The sequence below is a fragment of the Homo sapiens genome, chromosome 16 (assembly GCF_000001405.40).
Source record: "Homo sapiens chromosome 16, GRCh38.p14 Primary Assembly".
In the NCBI taxonomy this organism is placed as follows: domain Eukaryota; kingdom Metazoa; phylum Chordata; class Mammalia; order Primates; family Hominidae; genus Homo; species Homo sapiens.
Genome location: NC_000016.10, coordinates 77339387 through 77354568, shown reverse-complemented (window position 1 = coordinate 77354568; position 15182 = coordinate 77339387). Strand labels below are relative to the sequence as shown.

Sequence of the window (15182 nt, the reverse complement as noted above, 5' to 3'; positions counted from 1 at the left end):
TTCTCGGTGGTACCACATTTTAATTATTTAAGTAAGTGGAGATAAGGTGCTAAGAATATCCATGCCATCAGGACTGATTTTTGCTCTCAACAAGTCACAGTCAAACATATCTGAAGGAAATTTTTCTGCCTCATCCCCCAGTTCATTATTCCTCTTGATTCTTTAGGAATGTTATTTATTTTTGTCTGTAAGGCTTATTGTGAGTTAAAGTACATCTTTGACCTCTGCTCCATTATCTGTTTAAAAAAAGAAAATACTTGATTTAAAACTCCATGAAGACAGGTACTGTGTCTGTCTGGTTTATTTTGTACCTTTAGTGCTTTGTCTAAGGTTTGCCACAGAGTAGGGACTCAGTACAAATTGTCAAATATTGTTGAATAAGATTGTTGATGGGAGTTTTCAAATGTATTAACCTTTCCTGTCTCCTGTCAAATCCCAAGCCAAATCACTTGGATGACTAGAATTTTCAGCATCCTGTAAAACCCTTCCTGGCTGTGTACATTCCATCCTCTTAGACAGGACTCACTCTTTGGCATAAACATAGATTTGAACTTTAAACATATACCTGTTTCTAGAACCATGCTATATTTTTCTTTGCATGAATGCATTCAGAAGTGTGTTGTCGTAAATGGAAAGATCACAGATCAACAGAGTAATTAATAAGCATGTATTGTCATTACAGCACACCTCAGGCGGGGTGTCTAGTGGATGAGCCCAAGCAAGCAGGACAGTATAAATATCCGGACAAACTACCAGGACAGATTTATGATGCTGACACACAGTGTAAATGGCAATTTGGAGCAAAAGCCAAGTTATGCAGCCTTGGTTTTGTGAAGGTATGTTTGCTTGTGATTTCAAACTTACATTAAGACTCTGCAATGTGTCTGTGTCCCTAACAGAAGTGTAAACATTTGGTTTGCCAAGGCCAAGGGTTAGGTTCTGGGTTATCTCTACCGTGTCAGTTGTTTGGCATGATAATTAAGTGGCAATTTTACTGTCAATGAATTATCCAGGCCTATCCACATAGACCATGCCTGGTTTAAATACTGCTTGGTAGAAAATTCTTTCTCTTTAAATGAAGACTTTATCCCTACTAGTAAACCTGGGAACAATAGTTTGTACCTGCTGCTAATCACTGCTTTTGTTCTCTATATGATCCTATTCCCTGTTAATTTAATTCGTTTCAAATCATCACCATACCCAAATACATTATATGCCTTTTATAATATGGGATAACTATTAGCAGCTAGCTTTTTTAATATTGTCTATAAATTCAAGGTACATCTTTAGTAATATTAATAAGATTTTTGTGTCATCTTTTCTTCAAAGAATTATAAAAAAGATAATTGGGAAAGTACAAAAGTCCAGGTTATAGAAATGAGAGACACGTTGTTACACTTGGTCAAGAATGACATTTTACTGACAGTATTACAATCTCAACTTTACCAGAAAGTAAATTTGTTGTTGTTGTTGTCGTTGTTGTTGTTTTGAGACAGAGTCTCACTGTGTTGCCCAGGCTTGAGGGCAGTGGCACGATCTTGGCTCACTGCAAGCTCCGCCTCCCAGGTTCATGCCATTCTCCCGCCTCAGCCTCCTGAGTAGCCACCATGCTCGGCTAATTTTTTGTGTTTTTTTCAGTAGAGAAGGGATTTCACCGTGGTCTTGATCTCCTGACCTCGTGATCTCCCACCTCGGCCTCCCAAGTGCTGGGATTACAGGCATGAGCCACCCCGCCCGGCCCATACTAAAAAGTAGAATCATTTTTAAGTTGGTTTATTCCCAATATCCAAAGAGAAATATGGAAGTTCTAAGTAACTGAAAAATGCATGGAAATTATGGAGGTTTATAGCTCCTCTTTCCCCCTCTACTCCTGTTCCTCTTCTTCCTCCTCTTTCTCTCCCTATTCCTCCTTCTCTGCCACCACCACCACCATCACCATCACTATCACCATTTACTATCATCTTCAGCAGTTGCTAAGTGAGCCTGTGCCCCACATAAGGCATTCTACTTAAAGATTTATTTTACTTTACCTCAATCTTCACAAAAACCCTTCAAGGAAGAATTATTACCGCTTTTGACCTGGAGCTCAGAAAATATTTTCAACTTGCCCAAAGCCACAAACTTTTAAATGGTGGAATTTAACAAAACAAGTCACACACATTGATGTGAAATTTCCTCTTCTTCACCGGTGACTGGTACCAGTCACTATTACTAGTGTTTCCTAAACTTCAGTCATTAATATTCAGTCATTAATAACTACCTTCTTTATTTTAGTTGTGTTATCTCTATATTATTATTCATTTATTGCTTTTCTAGAAACCAATTCACATTCAAAACATAACTCCAGTCCGAAGAAATAATATTCATCAAATCATAGGTTTGAGATGGGATTACATTTTTTTTCTATTACAGTTTCAATGCATAACTATTAAAAAATTTTCCGGATGTCATTCACATTTTTTTGGTGTATCCTTCATGACACATGGAGCTTACTTTCAGAAATGCTGGTGAGCCTTCTGTAAAAACTAACAAATTGGCTGGGTGTAGTGGCTTATACTTATAATGTCAAGATTTGGGGAGGCCAAGGTGGGAGGATCACTTGAGGCCAGCAGTTTGAGAACAACCTGGGCAACAAAGTTAGACCCTCTCTTTACAAAAAATAAAAAAGTTAGCTGGGCTAGTGGCACGTACCTGTAGTTCCAACTACTAGGGAGGCTGAGGCAGGGGGATCACTTGAGCCCAGGAGTTTGAGGCTGAAGTGAAGGATGATAGCACTACTGTACTCCAGTCAGTACAGTCAGGCAACAGACTGAGACCCTATTTCTAAGAAAAAAAAAATTAACAGACTGTTCTATTTTCCTGTTAAGTTGATGGTTTTGGCAGAAGTTAAGTAGCCATTCACTTTGTTGAAAAAGTTTGTATTCTAATTTGCCTCTTGTTCACTTCATTCTAAAGGATTCATTATGTTATTTATTAATCACAAATTTATTACATACTATGCAGCAAAAGCACAGTTGGTAATAAGTATAATTTTCTTCAGAAATACAAAGGAGGTTCCTAAAATTACTATCATTCCTTCAGAACCATGTATTTGTGGGGTACCTGGTCTGTGTCAGGCAGTGTGCAGGGCTTAAACAACCTTTTTAAATTATAGATTGCTTTCTGGGACCTCACTATATTTTTAAAAGACAGCTTCTCATTCTGATGGTCTTTCATGGGAAGCAGAGCAAAGAGAAATGAAAATTCCAAAATAAAAGATTGAGTCAAACAAGGACAGGGAAGGTGAGAAAGACTTGCTTAAGAGAGAAATGATTTAAGATGGTGATGAGGTTAATGGAGAAGGTAGGGTGGTTTGATAGATTCTGAAGCTTGTTTTCCCCACACCTTAGCTTTTGGTATTGTTTTTAAACCTACTTATAACTTGAACCCATGGCCACACCTCTGAGGATCATAAATATTGCCAGGCTCTAGCCAGGAGGGATTTCCAAAGCAACAAAATCTCTTATTCATCCTGTCTAGTAGAAACAGTTTAGACCCGCTCTGGCAACGCAGGAAAGAGGTGAAGTTTGTCTTCAGGGCTTTTATTGTCCCATTATTACTTTCTAATCTTTTCCCCTCACTTTACTTTTTTTTTTCCTCCATGCCTCCTAGAAAGCATTGCATAGTGAAAGGGTTGCATAGTGATTAGAAGAACAACAACGAAAAGGAACTAATTATCAAAGTGTCCTCTCAGACCAGCAGATGCAGTGTATCGGCAAGACCTGAAACTTGTGAGAAATGTCTCGTCCCAGGCCTAAGGAATGAGAAATTTTGGGGCTAGGACCCAGAAACCCATATTCTAACAAAAGCTCTAGATGACCCTGATGCTCAGTCAAGATTGAGGGTCGCTGAGTTAGACAGTCTTCAATTTTGAACGTTCACACATACACATTTGCACACACAAATCTCTGGATTTGGGAGTCACAAAGACCTAGCTTTAAAATTTTGTTCCGAGATTTCCTATAAGCTTGGGGAAATGACTCAACCTCCCTTAGCCTTAGAGTTCACCTTTGAAAGGTGAAGATTACAATAGTTCCTCCATGGCTCATTGGTGAGGATTCATCTCTTGGTACAGTCGCATCACTTGATAAACAATACGGTTTCTTCTAACTCTCTTCCTTATGTCTTCAGCATCATCACCACCATCACATTTGACTCTTCTTCCCCAGTGGCTGCCCTGGTAAAGGCTCTGGGGCTGGCTCTTTTGGATCACTCATCCCCATCCTCCCCTCCTTTCCCAACCACGAGTTTTCTGTGTCTTCAGCATGCCAGACTTGATCTCTGTTCTCATCCAAAGTGTTGAAGAAAATGAGTTACGAATCTTTCTAATGGTTCTGTTATCTGGAAAGACTCAAAGCAGGATTCCCTCTGTAACAAGTGGAGAGAGCGCCCATTTGATTATTCTGCACTTTAGAAATGCTTACTGACTCCATGAGTGAGCTGATGCTGTTTGTCAGAGGGTCCCAAGCGCTGTCACAGACTGATCGAGACTTCTGTGCTGGTTATTTTACTAAGCTAGAAGTGAGCAGCTGAACAAATGCATCCTCTTTAGCTGACCCTGTACCTCAGTAGCCAGCACAGTTACTGTCACATAGCAGGAGCTCAGTTTTAATGTTTATTCATAGACCCACTGAGAGTTTGAAGCTGAGTAGAAATCGTGGGGAAGATATTTAAATTCTTGTGAATGTTCTCAGGCCTATCATTCTAGAGAGCATTGTATTGGAAGGATAGCAGGATCGGTGTATATTTCTTCTGTCAATCAAGAAAAATGACGAGACAAGTCTCAAGCATTTTAGGATATGTATCTGCCAAAGTTAAGGATGCACCCGGGAGACAGGTCTATGCCTTTTCCTGAAGATGATTTTGAGGGCTCCAACTTTAAAGGGGAAATGGCGGGAAATTGAGAAGTACACGATTTTCATGTAAGAGCAGGGTAGGGAACAATAGTTATTCATGACTTTGTCTGGCTCAGTGAACCGGCTTTTTTTTTTTTTTTTTTTTTTTTACATAAGATGACATAAACAAATGGGGCAGAGGAAAAATGCAGTGAAACTGCATTTTACATAAGATAAATATAGACACAGTGGGGCAGGGGAACAATCAGATATGCATTTGTGTCTGGTGGGCTGGGGTGACTGCACCTGTAAAGATAAGCTATCAATTTCCATTGCCATGGTGAAATTTTAACAGCTCACTAGGAATCTCCTTGTGGGCAAAATATGGGGGAGGTGTGTAGTTTTTCATCTTGTAGCCATCTTATTTAGGAACCGAAAGGGGGAGACAGGTTTGTGTGACCGAGTTCCCAGCTTGACTTTTCTATTTGGCTTAATGAGTTTGGGGTTCCAACATTTAACTTCCTTTCACACTTCTTTAAGAATTTGACATCAGGATTAATGAATGGAGAATAATTAGAAACTTCCTAGCATGGAATCATACTATTTGATACTATTATACTATTACTTTGTAACATACCAAGTTTACTGCATGCCATTTTAACTTCTATTAACTTTCCCCCATGCACTTACGCTCCAGTGATGTTGATCTTCTTGTGTGTTTTCCAAATATTTCCTTTTCCGTGTCTACAAGCCTTTGTATATGTTTGTTATTCTAGTATGCTGTGTGGCCACCCAGTGACACTTAATCATTTTTTTATTGTTGTTAAAGATTCAATTCAAGTGTTACCTCCTTATTTCCTCAGGGAGATTTAAACATTTATTTCTCTGGGCTCCAATTCCAGCTTATGTGTCCCTTTTATAAACTTGTGATACATTTTAACTGTGTATACACATCTCTTGCCTCTATTGGTAGAGAGTATCTGCCATGCCTAGCATGTGCTGGATGTCATATCAGATACTCAGTGTTATTTATTGGGCTTACAGTGATAACCAAAGCTCACATGTTTTAGCACTCCCACTTCCATAAAGTGGAAGATGTCCCCTCTGCCTCTTCTCTCATCCCTCCTCAAAGCAGCAGGAGTGACTTACCTGATTGACCAGTTTAAGACTATATCTGAGCAGGCATGCCACAGTACTGTCTCAGCATCTTCTCTCTTGTGCTGCCTGTCTGCAGGATGCACACTTCTCTTCTGCCACCCTGGAGGTTGCCTGCCTCGGATGGGAGACTTGTGTTTGCCTCCTCTACCTGCAAGTGTGAAGGGATAGTTGGTCTAATGCAGTGGAGATAGTGTTGGAAGACCTATTTGGCCACAGATCTCAGCCACATTCCCCAATTCATGATTATCAGTAATAAGGTTATTATCTAGATTTCCATTTCTTGGACTCCAGTGTCTTATTTATCTAGTGGTGGAAGAGACAGGAACATTATTTATTGTCCCCCCTGAATCCAGCAGAAAGGAAATTGAAGTTAAATAATCTGAGCAAGATTAGTCAGAAAGTGCTAGTATACAGGAAAACAAAAGGCCCTGGTTTTAGAGTCAAAATTGTAGTGATATCTATATGTGAATGAACTCTTAGAAAATTGAGGGTAAGATACTCTTTCCATCCTATAATAATAACTAATATTTATTCAGTGCTTATTATGTATCAGATAGTACTTTAAGCACACGATACATATTAATACTTCCATATCTTTGGGGGATGTGCTATTATTAACATTTTCTAGATAAGAAATCTAAAGTACATAAAAATAAATGTTTTACTAAGCTTTATATGAGCAAATGGCAGAATTAAAATTGGATCTGGGTAGCACATTCTATTAACCATTATACTATACTGCCTCTCATATTATCTACCTAGAAAAAATATAAAATGGTACCAGTGCCAATCCCCTTACCAAAAAAGGAGGGGAGGAGCAAAATACTAAATTAATATATCACAGAAGGAGACATACACATAGTCAATAAATGCATGAAATGGTACTCAATATCAATTGCTCTCAGGAATATATCAAATAATATATCAGAGAAGGAGACATACACATAGTCAATAAATGCATGAAATGGTACTCAATATCAATTGCTCTCAGGAATATATAAAAGAAATTATAATGGGGCACCACTGCACACTGACTGGAATGGAGAATATTAAAAAGATTGACAATACCAAATGATACCGAAGACCAGAAGCAACTGGAACTCTGCATATTGCTGATGAGTGTGTCAAGTGGTATAATCATTTTGGAAATGGTTTGACCGAGTTGTTTCAATGTAGAAAGTTAAACCTACCTTTACCCTTTGACCCAGCAAATGTACTCCATGGTATCTACCTGAAATAAATAAAGGACTGTGTTCATAAAAAGGCTTGTCCAAGAACATTCTCAGCTACTATTTGATTCATAGAAGCCAAAGACTAGATACTATTTAAACGTCCTGCAAAAGGTGAATGTGCAAGCAGATTAGATTTTGCTGTATTCATACAATGGAACTCCATTCATCAATAAAGAAGAATGAACTATTGATACACACAAAAACATGGATGACTGAAAAACATGCCGAACAAAAGAGTACATTCTGTATGGTTCCATTTATATGAAATTTAAGAGAATAGGCAACACTCACCTATTGGTGACCGAAATCAGAATGGTGGTTGCCCTAAGAAGGGAATTGACTGCAAAAGGGGACAGGGGAACTTTTTGGAGTGATGGAAATATTCTGCCTTGAATGTGGTGGTGTTTATAGTGGTGTATATATCTGCCAAAATGCATGGAACAGTACACTTAAAATGAATGCATATTATTGTATAAATCATACCTCTGTAAAGTTGATTTTTAAAATGGCATCGGGGCAATTCTTGGTGACTCCTACTTGTTAATTGTTATTTGTTACTTTTAAATTATTGCTTAGCTTAAAAACTTGGGCAATAAACTCAGGCATACATGGGCTTAAATCCAGGCCAACTAGAGACTTAACTGCTAAAAGAAGTTGGAAGAAGTTTCTTAATTTCTCTGAGTCTCAATTTTCTCATGAGCATGTTGAGGAGATAGTCATACTTTCGTCATGTGGCCACAATGATGATACAATGAAATAATTTATGCAAAACTCATTATCCAGTTTTTTTTAGCATATACTGTTTGCCAGGTTCTTTCATGTTATTATTTTTTTTAATTCTTGAAAGCTCTTAAAAATTCCAGAGTCTTTATTACAAATGAAGACTATTTTAAAATACAAAGTCTGTCATTTTTATTCATATATTGATTTACTGAAGCCTACTTTGTACCAGGCACTGTTTTGGGTGCTTGGGATACATCAGAGAGAAAACACAGTTCTGTACTCTCGTGGCTAGTGGGGGAGAAAACAAAACACAATAAACGTTATAAATAAGTCAATGATGTTGTAAATGAAGCCACAAGTGCTAAGTAAGTTTGGAATAAGATAAGGAAAATTGGAAGACTGACTGGTTGGTGGCTGATTAAATTTTTTAATATCGAGGTCACAGGAGGTGAAATTTAGGCAAAGACTTGAAGGAGGTAAGAGAGAGATGCAGATAGTTGAAGAAGTGGAACAGCCAGTGTAAAGACCCGCTTTGGGAGCAAAATTTGAGTGTTGGCAGAGCATCAGGGAGCCAGTGTGGCTAAACCAGAGTGAGCAAGACCTAAACTGGTAGGATACAGTGTCAGGGAGATACAGGGGGCTTGAGTGCATATGACTTTGTGGATGACAGTTAGGACTTTGGATTTTTCTCGTGATGAATTGACAAGACATAACAGGGTTTTGAGCAGAAAAGTGCCATGAGCTGACTGACACTGAGTTGATTTGGAAGGCTCTCCCTAACTGAGTGCCATCCAGCAGAACTCTCCATAATGATGCAAATGTTCTCTGTTATCCAATATGGTAGGTACTTACTACACATGAACCTGAAATGTGACCAGTGTGCCTGAGGAAGTGAATTCTTATTTTGATTTTAAGTAATGTAAATTCAGGTTTAACAAGCCACATGTAGAAAGTAACTATCATATTGGATAATACAGCTCTAGTCACTGTGTTGAGAATAAACTGGGCAAGGGTGCGGGTAAAAGCCTTTGAGGCTTGTGAGGAGGATCTGGCAGTGAGCTCCATGTCGGGTGGCTTGGAACAGGGTAGTAGAAATGGAAGGTGGCCATAATTGTTCAGATTCTGGAAATATTTTGAAGGCAAAGCCAATATGATTTCATGATCTGGTGGGGGTTTTCTTGATAGAATGTGAAAGAAACAGAAGAGTCAAAGATGACTCTAGGATTTTTTACCAGAACCAATGGGAATATAGAGGTGTCTTAGAGTGAGATGGGGACAGTGAAACATGGGACAGGTTTGGAGGAGCCAATGAAGAACTTTTATTTTGGATGTGTTCAGTTTGTAATGCTTCATAAAATTTGGTTTGCAAAAGCCATTAACATTTTCAGCATGTCAGGTTTTACTTGAAGGGGTATCCAGCCTATAGAATACAACTGGAGGACACAGCAAGTGACAGGACAGAATAATGGATAGCATTGGGACTCTTTCCTTTAAAATGTTGCCTAGTTTAAAAAAATCATATGCAGGCAACATGAGACCTTGGAGTCTCTGTGGTTATTTCTTTTTTTCCCTTAAATTATGACTTAAGTCCAGGGAATTATAGATAAGGGAAAGTTATTTGAATATGCTGGTAAAAAGAGGGGGGAGGTACAAGCAAAAAAAGTGCAAACTCTGATTTGCGTTTCCTTTGAAAGGGAGCCTTCTCAAGGGGCTTTCATGGTCGTCAGAGTATGTAGTTGGCTATAATTACCCTTGACTTCTGTACTCCACCGCAGAAGAAATAACATGTTCATGCAGCCTGTCTTATTTCACTCTGGAATCCCTGTGTTTTTTTTTTTGTTTTGCTTTGTTTTCCTGGTTCTCTCCAGCTGCCCCTTCTCTTGGTTCTGTGGCTTGGCATTGGCTACGACAGCTAGCCCTCCTTTTCTTTGGTCTGCCCTAGGGCCATTTTGGTGGCTGCCACATAGGCACTGGGTGTGGGTTATGGCTTTTTCCTGGCTGTAAGAAGAAAAACAATTTAGTTCTGAAAGCCTTTCTAAGTGTAGGTTTAATCATTTCAGTGCTATCTCTCATGCCTCCCATTTCACATAGGCGGCTCTCTTACCCACATTGATTGATTTCCCTCAAACTGAGGGTGACTCAATACGACAACACGTAGCGATGATGACTGTGATTCAGTTTGCTGGGAGGCTGCCTCATGCTTTCTGCTAATGTCAGTGGCAGGTTCACGGGAATATGTATATATTCTAGCTTAGGAGCTGTTTTGAGATTTGGGAATGGTACACGTGCCCACATCTGGGGCAGCTGGTGGTGTTGGTGTTTCTAAGTAGTGTCCTCAATATTCTTCCATTCTCCTTTTAGGGGAAGAATTTTATGGTCTACAAGACCAAAATTACTGTATGTGTATATATATATATATATATATACACACACACATACATATATATGTATGTATACATACATATATATATATACATCTGGTTTCCCTATGTTTTCTCAGTCCCATGGAAAGCTTTTTTTTTTGAGTGTTTGTGTAATATTTCTAAGCATATTCTTGCCATATTTTCTAACTGTAAAATCTACATGAAATGGAGTGTTTGGGGAATTAGGTGCCTGGTTCATTGAATTTTCAGGATTACAACAAGTAATGACAAAAATTATTTTTCTCCTCTCTGGTTGCTTATATTTTCTCCAAAATGTCCATCTTCACATTTTTATCTTTGGAAATAGAATGTGCCCACCAAAATGGGGTCACTTTGACCTTTCACAATGTTTCACAACATTCCATTAGTGCTATAATTGTAAATATCAACTTTAACTGTTAGAACGGAAAGTAATCTGGTTCTGTTTCTTTATAGACTAGAAAACTGAGGCCTGGAGAATTTGAGAGCCTTCCAATATCCATCAGTGGCAAATCCAGGCCTAGTGTAGTGGTTGTTACTAGACTCAGAAATCAGGCCAGCTTGAGGCCTGCCTTTGTTCCTGGCCAGCTGTGTGATTTTAAAAGTTCAACAGCATCAGAAGCTTGCTCAGTTTTTTCAGCTAAATGAGTTTAGATGAAGAATTAGTTCAGTTTCCACCACTAAAATGGTAGTAAAAGTATTAGTTCCCTATCTAAATAAATTTCCACAAACTTAGTGTGACTTAAGGCAACACACATTTATTATCTTATAGTTCTGGAAGTAGATATTTGAAAGGGCTAAAATCAGGCCAGGCAAGGTGGCTCATGTGAGCAATCCTAGCACTTTGGGAGGCCAAGGCGGGCAGATCACCTGAGGTTGGGAGTTCGAGACCAGCCTGGCCAACGTGGTGAAACCACGTCTCTACTAAAAATACAAAAAGTGGCCGGACATGGTGGTGCGTGCTTGTAATCCCAGTTACTCAGGAGGCTGAGGCAGGGATAATTGCTTGAACCCAGGAGGCGGGGGTTGCAGTGAGCCGAGATGGTGCCATTGCACTCCAGGCTGGGTGACAAGAGTGAAACTCACTCTCAAAAAAAAAAAAAAAGAAAGTAAGGTCTAAAATCAGTGCATTAGCAGGGTTTTGAAGGCCTTAGGGGAGAAGTCATTTTCATGCCTTTTTCAGCTTCTGGAAGCTGCCTGCATTCCTTGGCTCATGGCCCCTCCTTCATCTTCAAAGCCAGCAACATTCTCCTAGGTCTTTCTCAAGCTGTCATCTCTCTGGTTCTCTTCTAAGCTCCTCTTTCCCATATAAGGACTCTTGTGACTATGTTAGGCCCACCTGGAAAATTTAGGACAGTCTCTGCCTCTCCATTTCAATTGATGATGACCTCAATTGCATCTGTAACTTTAATTCTCCTTTGCTACACAACTTCACATATTCACAGGATCCCAGGATTAGTATGCGAACATCTTTGGGGGCCATTATTCTGTGTACCACAGTCTAGCATGAGAATGAAATTATTTCATAGGCCTGGTTTGAGAGTTAAATTGTCTACATATTTGAAAACTGCAATAGAGACGAAGAAGGTGGCCAGGCCTGGTGGCTCATGCTTGTAATCCCAACAGTTTGGGAGACTGAGGTGGGAGGATCACTTTAGGTTAGGAGTTTGAGATGAGACTGGGCCACAAAGCAAGAATCTGTCTCTACAGTCAGTCAGTCAATAAACTATAAACAGCACTCATAGAAAATGCTTCAGGTAAGCACATATAGGACCTTGAAAAAGCAACTGTAGAACATTTTTTAAAAAGATGAAAAAGGTAGTAATGATAGGCAGTATTTTTGAGAACTGCATGTGCCAGGCAAAACCATCACTTTACATGTAGTTCCTCATTTATCCTTGAGAATAAGTCTATAGAGTCAAGTGCTCATTTGATCGCTATTGTACAGGTGAGAAAACTGCAACTGAAAGGGATTCCATAACATGTCCATAGGGCATGAAACCAGGCATTTCAGGATGAAGACTTGAATCCGACTTGCTTTATTCCAATCTTGATGTATTCTGCTACGACGGTTATCATCATCACTATCATGAGAAACCAGATCTATCACTTCCAAGCCAAGTGTTCTCTAAATTAACTGTTGCTACCTACCAGCTGTTACAAAACACACATGAATATCTGGATACTGTAGAAACCCCCCACTTATATAGTTACTAAAACATATTAACTTTGGTGTTGCCAACTTCACTGGCCTCTACTTTCTGAATAATTGCTCTGATTTCAGCTACCCCAAAATATAATATTATATACAACATCTTTGAATATTTTTGTTTTTATTGTATATCACCATTAACAGCACCCCCCTTTTTTTTTATTTCAGGATATTTGCAAATCACTTTGGTGCCACCGAGTAGGCCACAGGTGTGAGACCAAGTTTATGCCCGCAGCAGAAGGGACCGTTTGTGGCTTGAGTATGGTAAACTGCATACTTGTTAGTTTTTAGCTCCAGAAATTTGATAAGGCATAGAATTCAAACTGTTTGTATTGTGACCTTAGGGTGAATGCTTTGGTAGTTTATATTCTCTGACTTCTCTTCATATTAACAACATTATATAGCAGCAATTACAAAGCTTAATGCTAATATAACCCAGGTAGCTCAATTGTTTAAGAAGATTTTTTTTTTCTTTTTTGTCTTCCTGTTTTAGATGGTGGCTTGGCTCAAAATATCTCTATTTCAATGAGCTTACAGGTTTCATTGCATACCATTTTCCTTTTAAACTTGTGGTATTTAAAAAGTCTCAGGGATCAGATGTCTTGTTAGTCAAGAAATGACTGTCCCTCCAGACCAAGGCTTCGGCTACTCAGCTCAACTCACAGGAGCTGTCATTGAGCTTTTGACATGCCCTATAGATTCCCATCATGTACAGTGACTTTCCTATTGAAGGGTAAGAGACGCCTCCACCTAGTGTGTACCTAAGGTCCTTTTGCTGGTGAGCATCTCCTACCCAGAGAACCACCTCCATTTTGAAAGATTATAGGAGATCTCAATATTTTTAATGAAGAACTCTCATATATTTCTATTTTTCTTCCTCTTTCTCAATAGAGTCTGGAGGGAGGGCAGGTTGCATTTGGGCTACTAGTAAATGATCCAGATTTGGGAAGTTCATTTGAAAGGCCAATCAAAGAGGAGCTATGAATGACAAGAGATAATGAGATGTTACAGGTTTGCTGATCTTAATTATTGACTCTGTCTCAAGGCAGTATAAACCTATACAGAAAAAAATGGTCATTGGTCCTTTAAAGTTATGTCAAGGCTGGGTGTGATAGCTCATACCTGTAATCCCAACACTTTGGGAGGCTGAGCAGGGAGGATTGCTTGAAGCCAGGAGTTCAAGAACAGGTAACACAGCGAGACCCTATCTCTACAAAAGCTTAAACAGGCTTGGTGGTGCGTGCCTGTAGTCCCAGCACTTTGGGAGGTTGAAGGAGGAGGATCGCTTCAACCCAGGAGTTTGAGGCTGTAGTGTGCTGTGATTATGCCACTGCACTCCATCCTGGGCCACAGAGCTAGGCCCTGTCTCTAAAAAAGAAAAAGTTATTTCATTCCACAATAATTTATTCATTACTAGATATGGGGAACAGGAGACTCTGGGGATGTAGAGATAAATAAACCAGAGTTGTATTTCTTTAAAAATTTACAGTCCAGGCGGGGCACAGTGGCTCATGCCTGTAATCCCATCACTTTGAGAGGCCAAGGTGGGTGGATCCCTTGAGGTCAGAAGTTCAAGACTAGCCTGGCCAACGTGGTGAAACCTTGGGACTACTAAAAATACAAAAATTTGCTGGGCGTGGTGGCACACACCTGAAATCCCAGCTACTTGGGAGGCTGAGGTATGAGAATCACTTGCATCCTGGAGGCAGAGGTTGCAGGAAGTGGAGATTGTGCCACTGAATTCCAGCCTGGGTGACAGAGCAAGACTCTCTCAAAAATAAATTAAAAATATAAAAATTTACAGTCTAGCAGGGGAAACATATACAGAAGGAAATAACTAATTCTCTCTTTAAAGACACCTTCTCTAAGCAGTAGTTGCTGTCGGGGCCCAGATGAAATGAGAGCTGAATCTTGCTTGAGATTAGCTATGCACTTAGAATAAACCACAACAAGTACATGCATCAAGATGGTTGTTGGGTTGTGGGTTAAAGTTCTTCAGTTAGATGATAAAAAGGACTTTTCAGAGAGAGGCCAACATCAGAGGCAAAGGCACAGATTTCTGATATTTGTTAGGACATTTATTCACTATCTCTTAAAAAGACTTGTAATTTTTAACTCTTTGTTTTAAAGAAAATGAACATTTTAAAAATTGAGGAGTTATGTGCAATTTTTAATCCGATAGTGGTCTTAGGGATTCCCAATGAGGACTGTTCTTGAAAATGTTAATAGAAATGTTGGGGCCATGATGATACAAAACAATGAATTAGTGGAATAATTTAAAATATAAATAGTGCTCAAGTCCTTTTTACTTTTGAGGCATCACAACTTAGAACTTGTGACTTGAGGATTAGTGTTTTGTTTTTTTTTTTAATTGAAAAAGCAACATCGTTACCTATAAGGGATACACAGGAAAATATTTATATAATGAATGAGAAAAATAAGTGATACATCACCTAGGTCTAAAGATTTATTACATAAGCACTTCAGGTATCTAAGTTCCAAGGGGGATAAAACGTACTTGTGTTAGGCTTCAGTAAACAGAACACGAGATAAATAAAGTCAGAAGTGGGAAAACAAATGT

At 39.1% G+C, this 15182-nt stretch overlaps 1 protein-coding gene across 4 annotated transcripts in view; it reads left to right on the top strand.

Annotated features, from left to right (window-relative positions):
- Nucleotides 1-15182, top strand: part of ADAMTS18 (ADAM metallopeptidase with thrombospondin type 1 motif 18) — a 152907-nt gene that overhangs the window by 80466 nt on the left and 57259 nt on the right. For all 4 annotated transcript variants that reach the window (NM_199355.4, NM_001326358.2, XM_047433672.1 and 1 more), the window contains 2 exons: nucleotides 683-836; nucleotides 12770-12865. In NM_199355.4, the coding sequence (NP_955387.1) occupies nucleotides 683-836; nucleotides 12770-12865 (250 nt within the window). The remainder of the gene's footprint in view (nucleotides 1-682; nucleotides 837-12769; nucleotides 12866-15182) is intronic.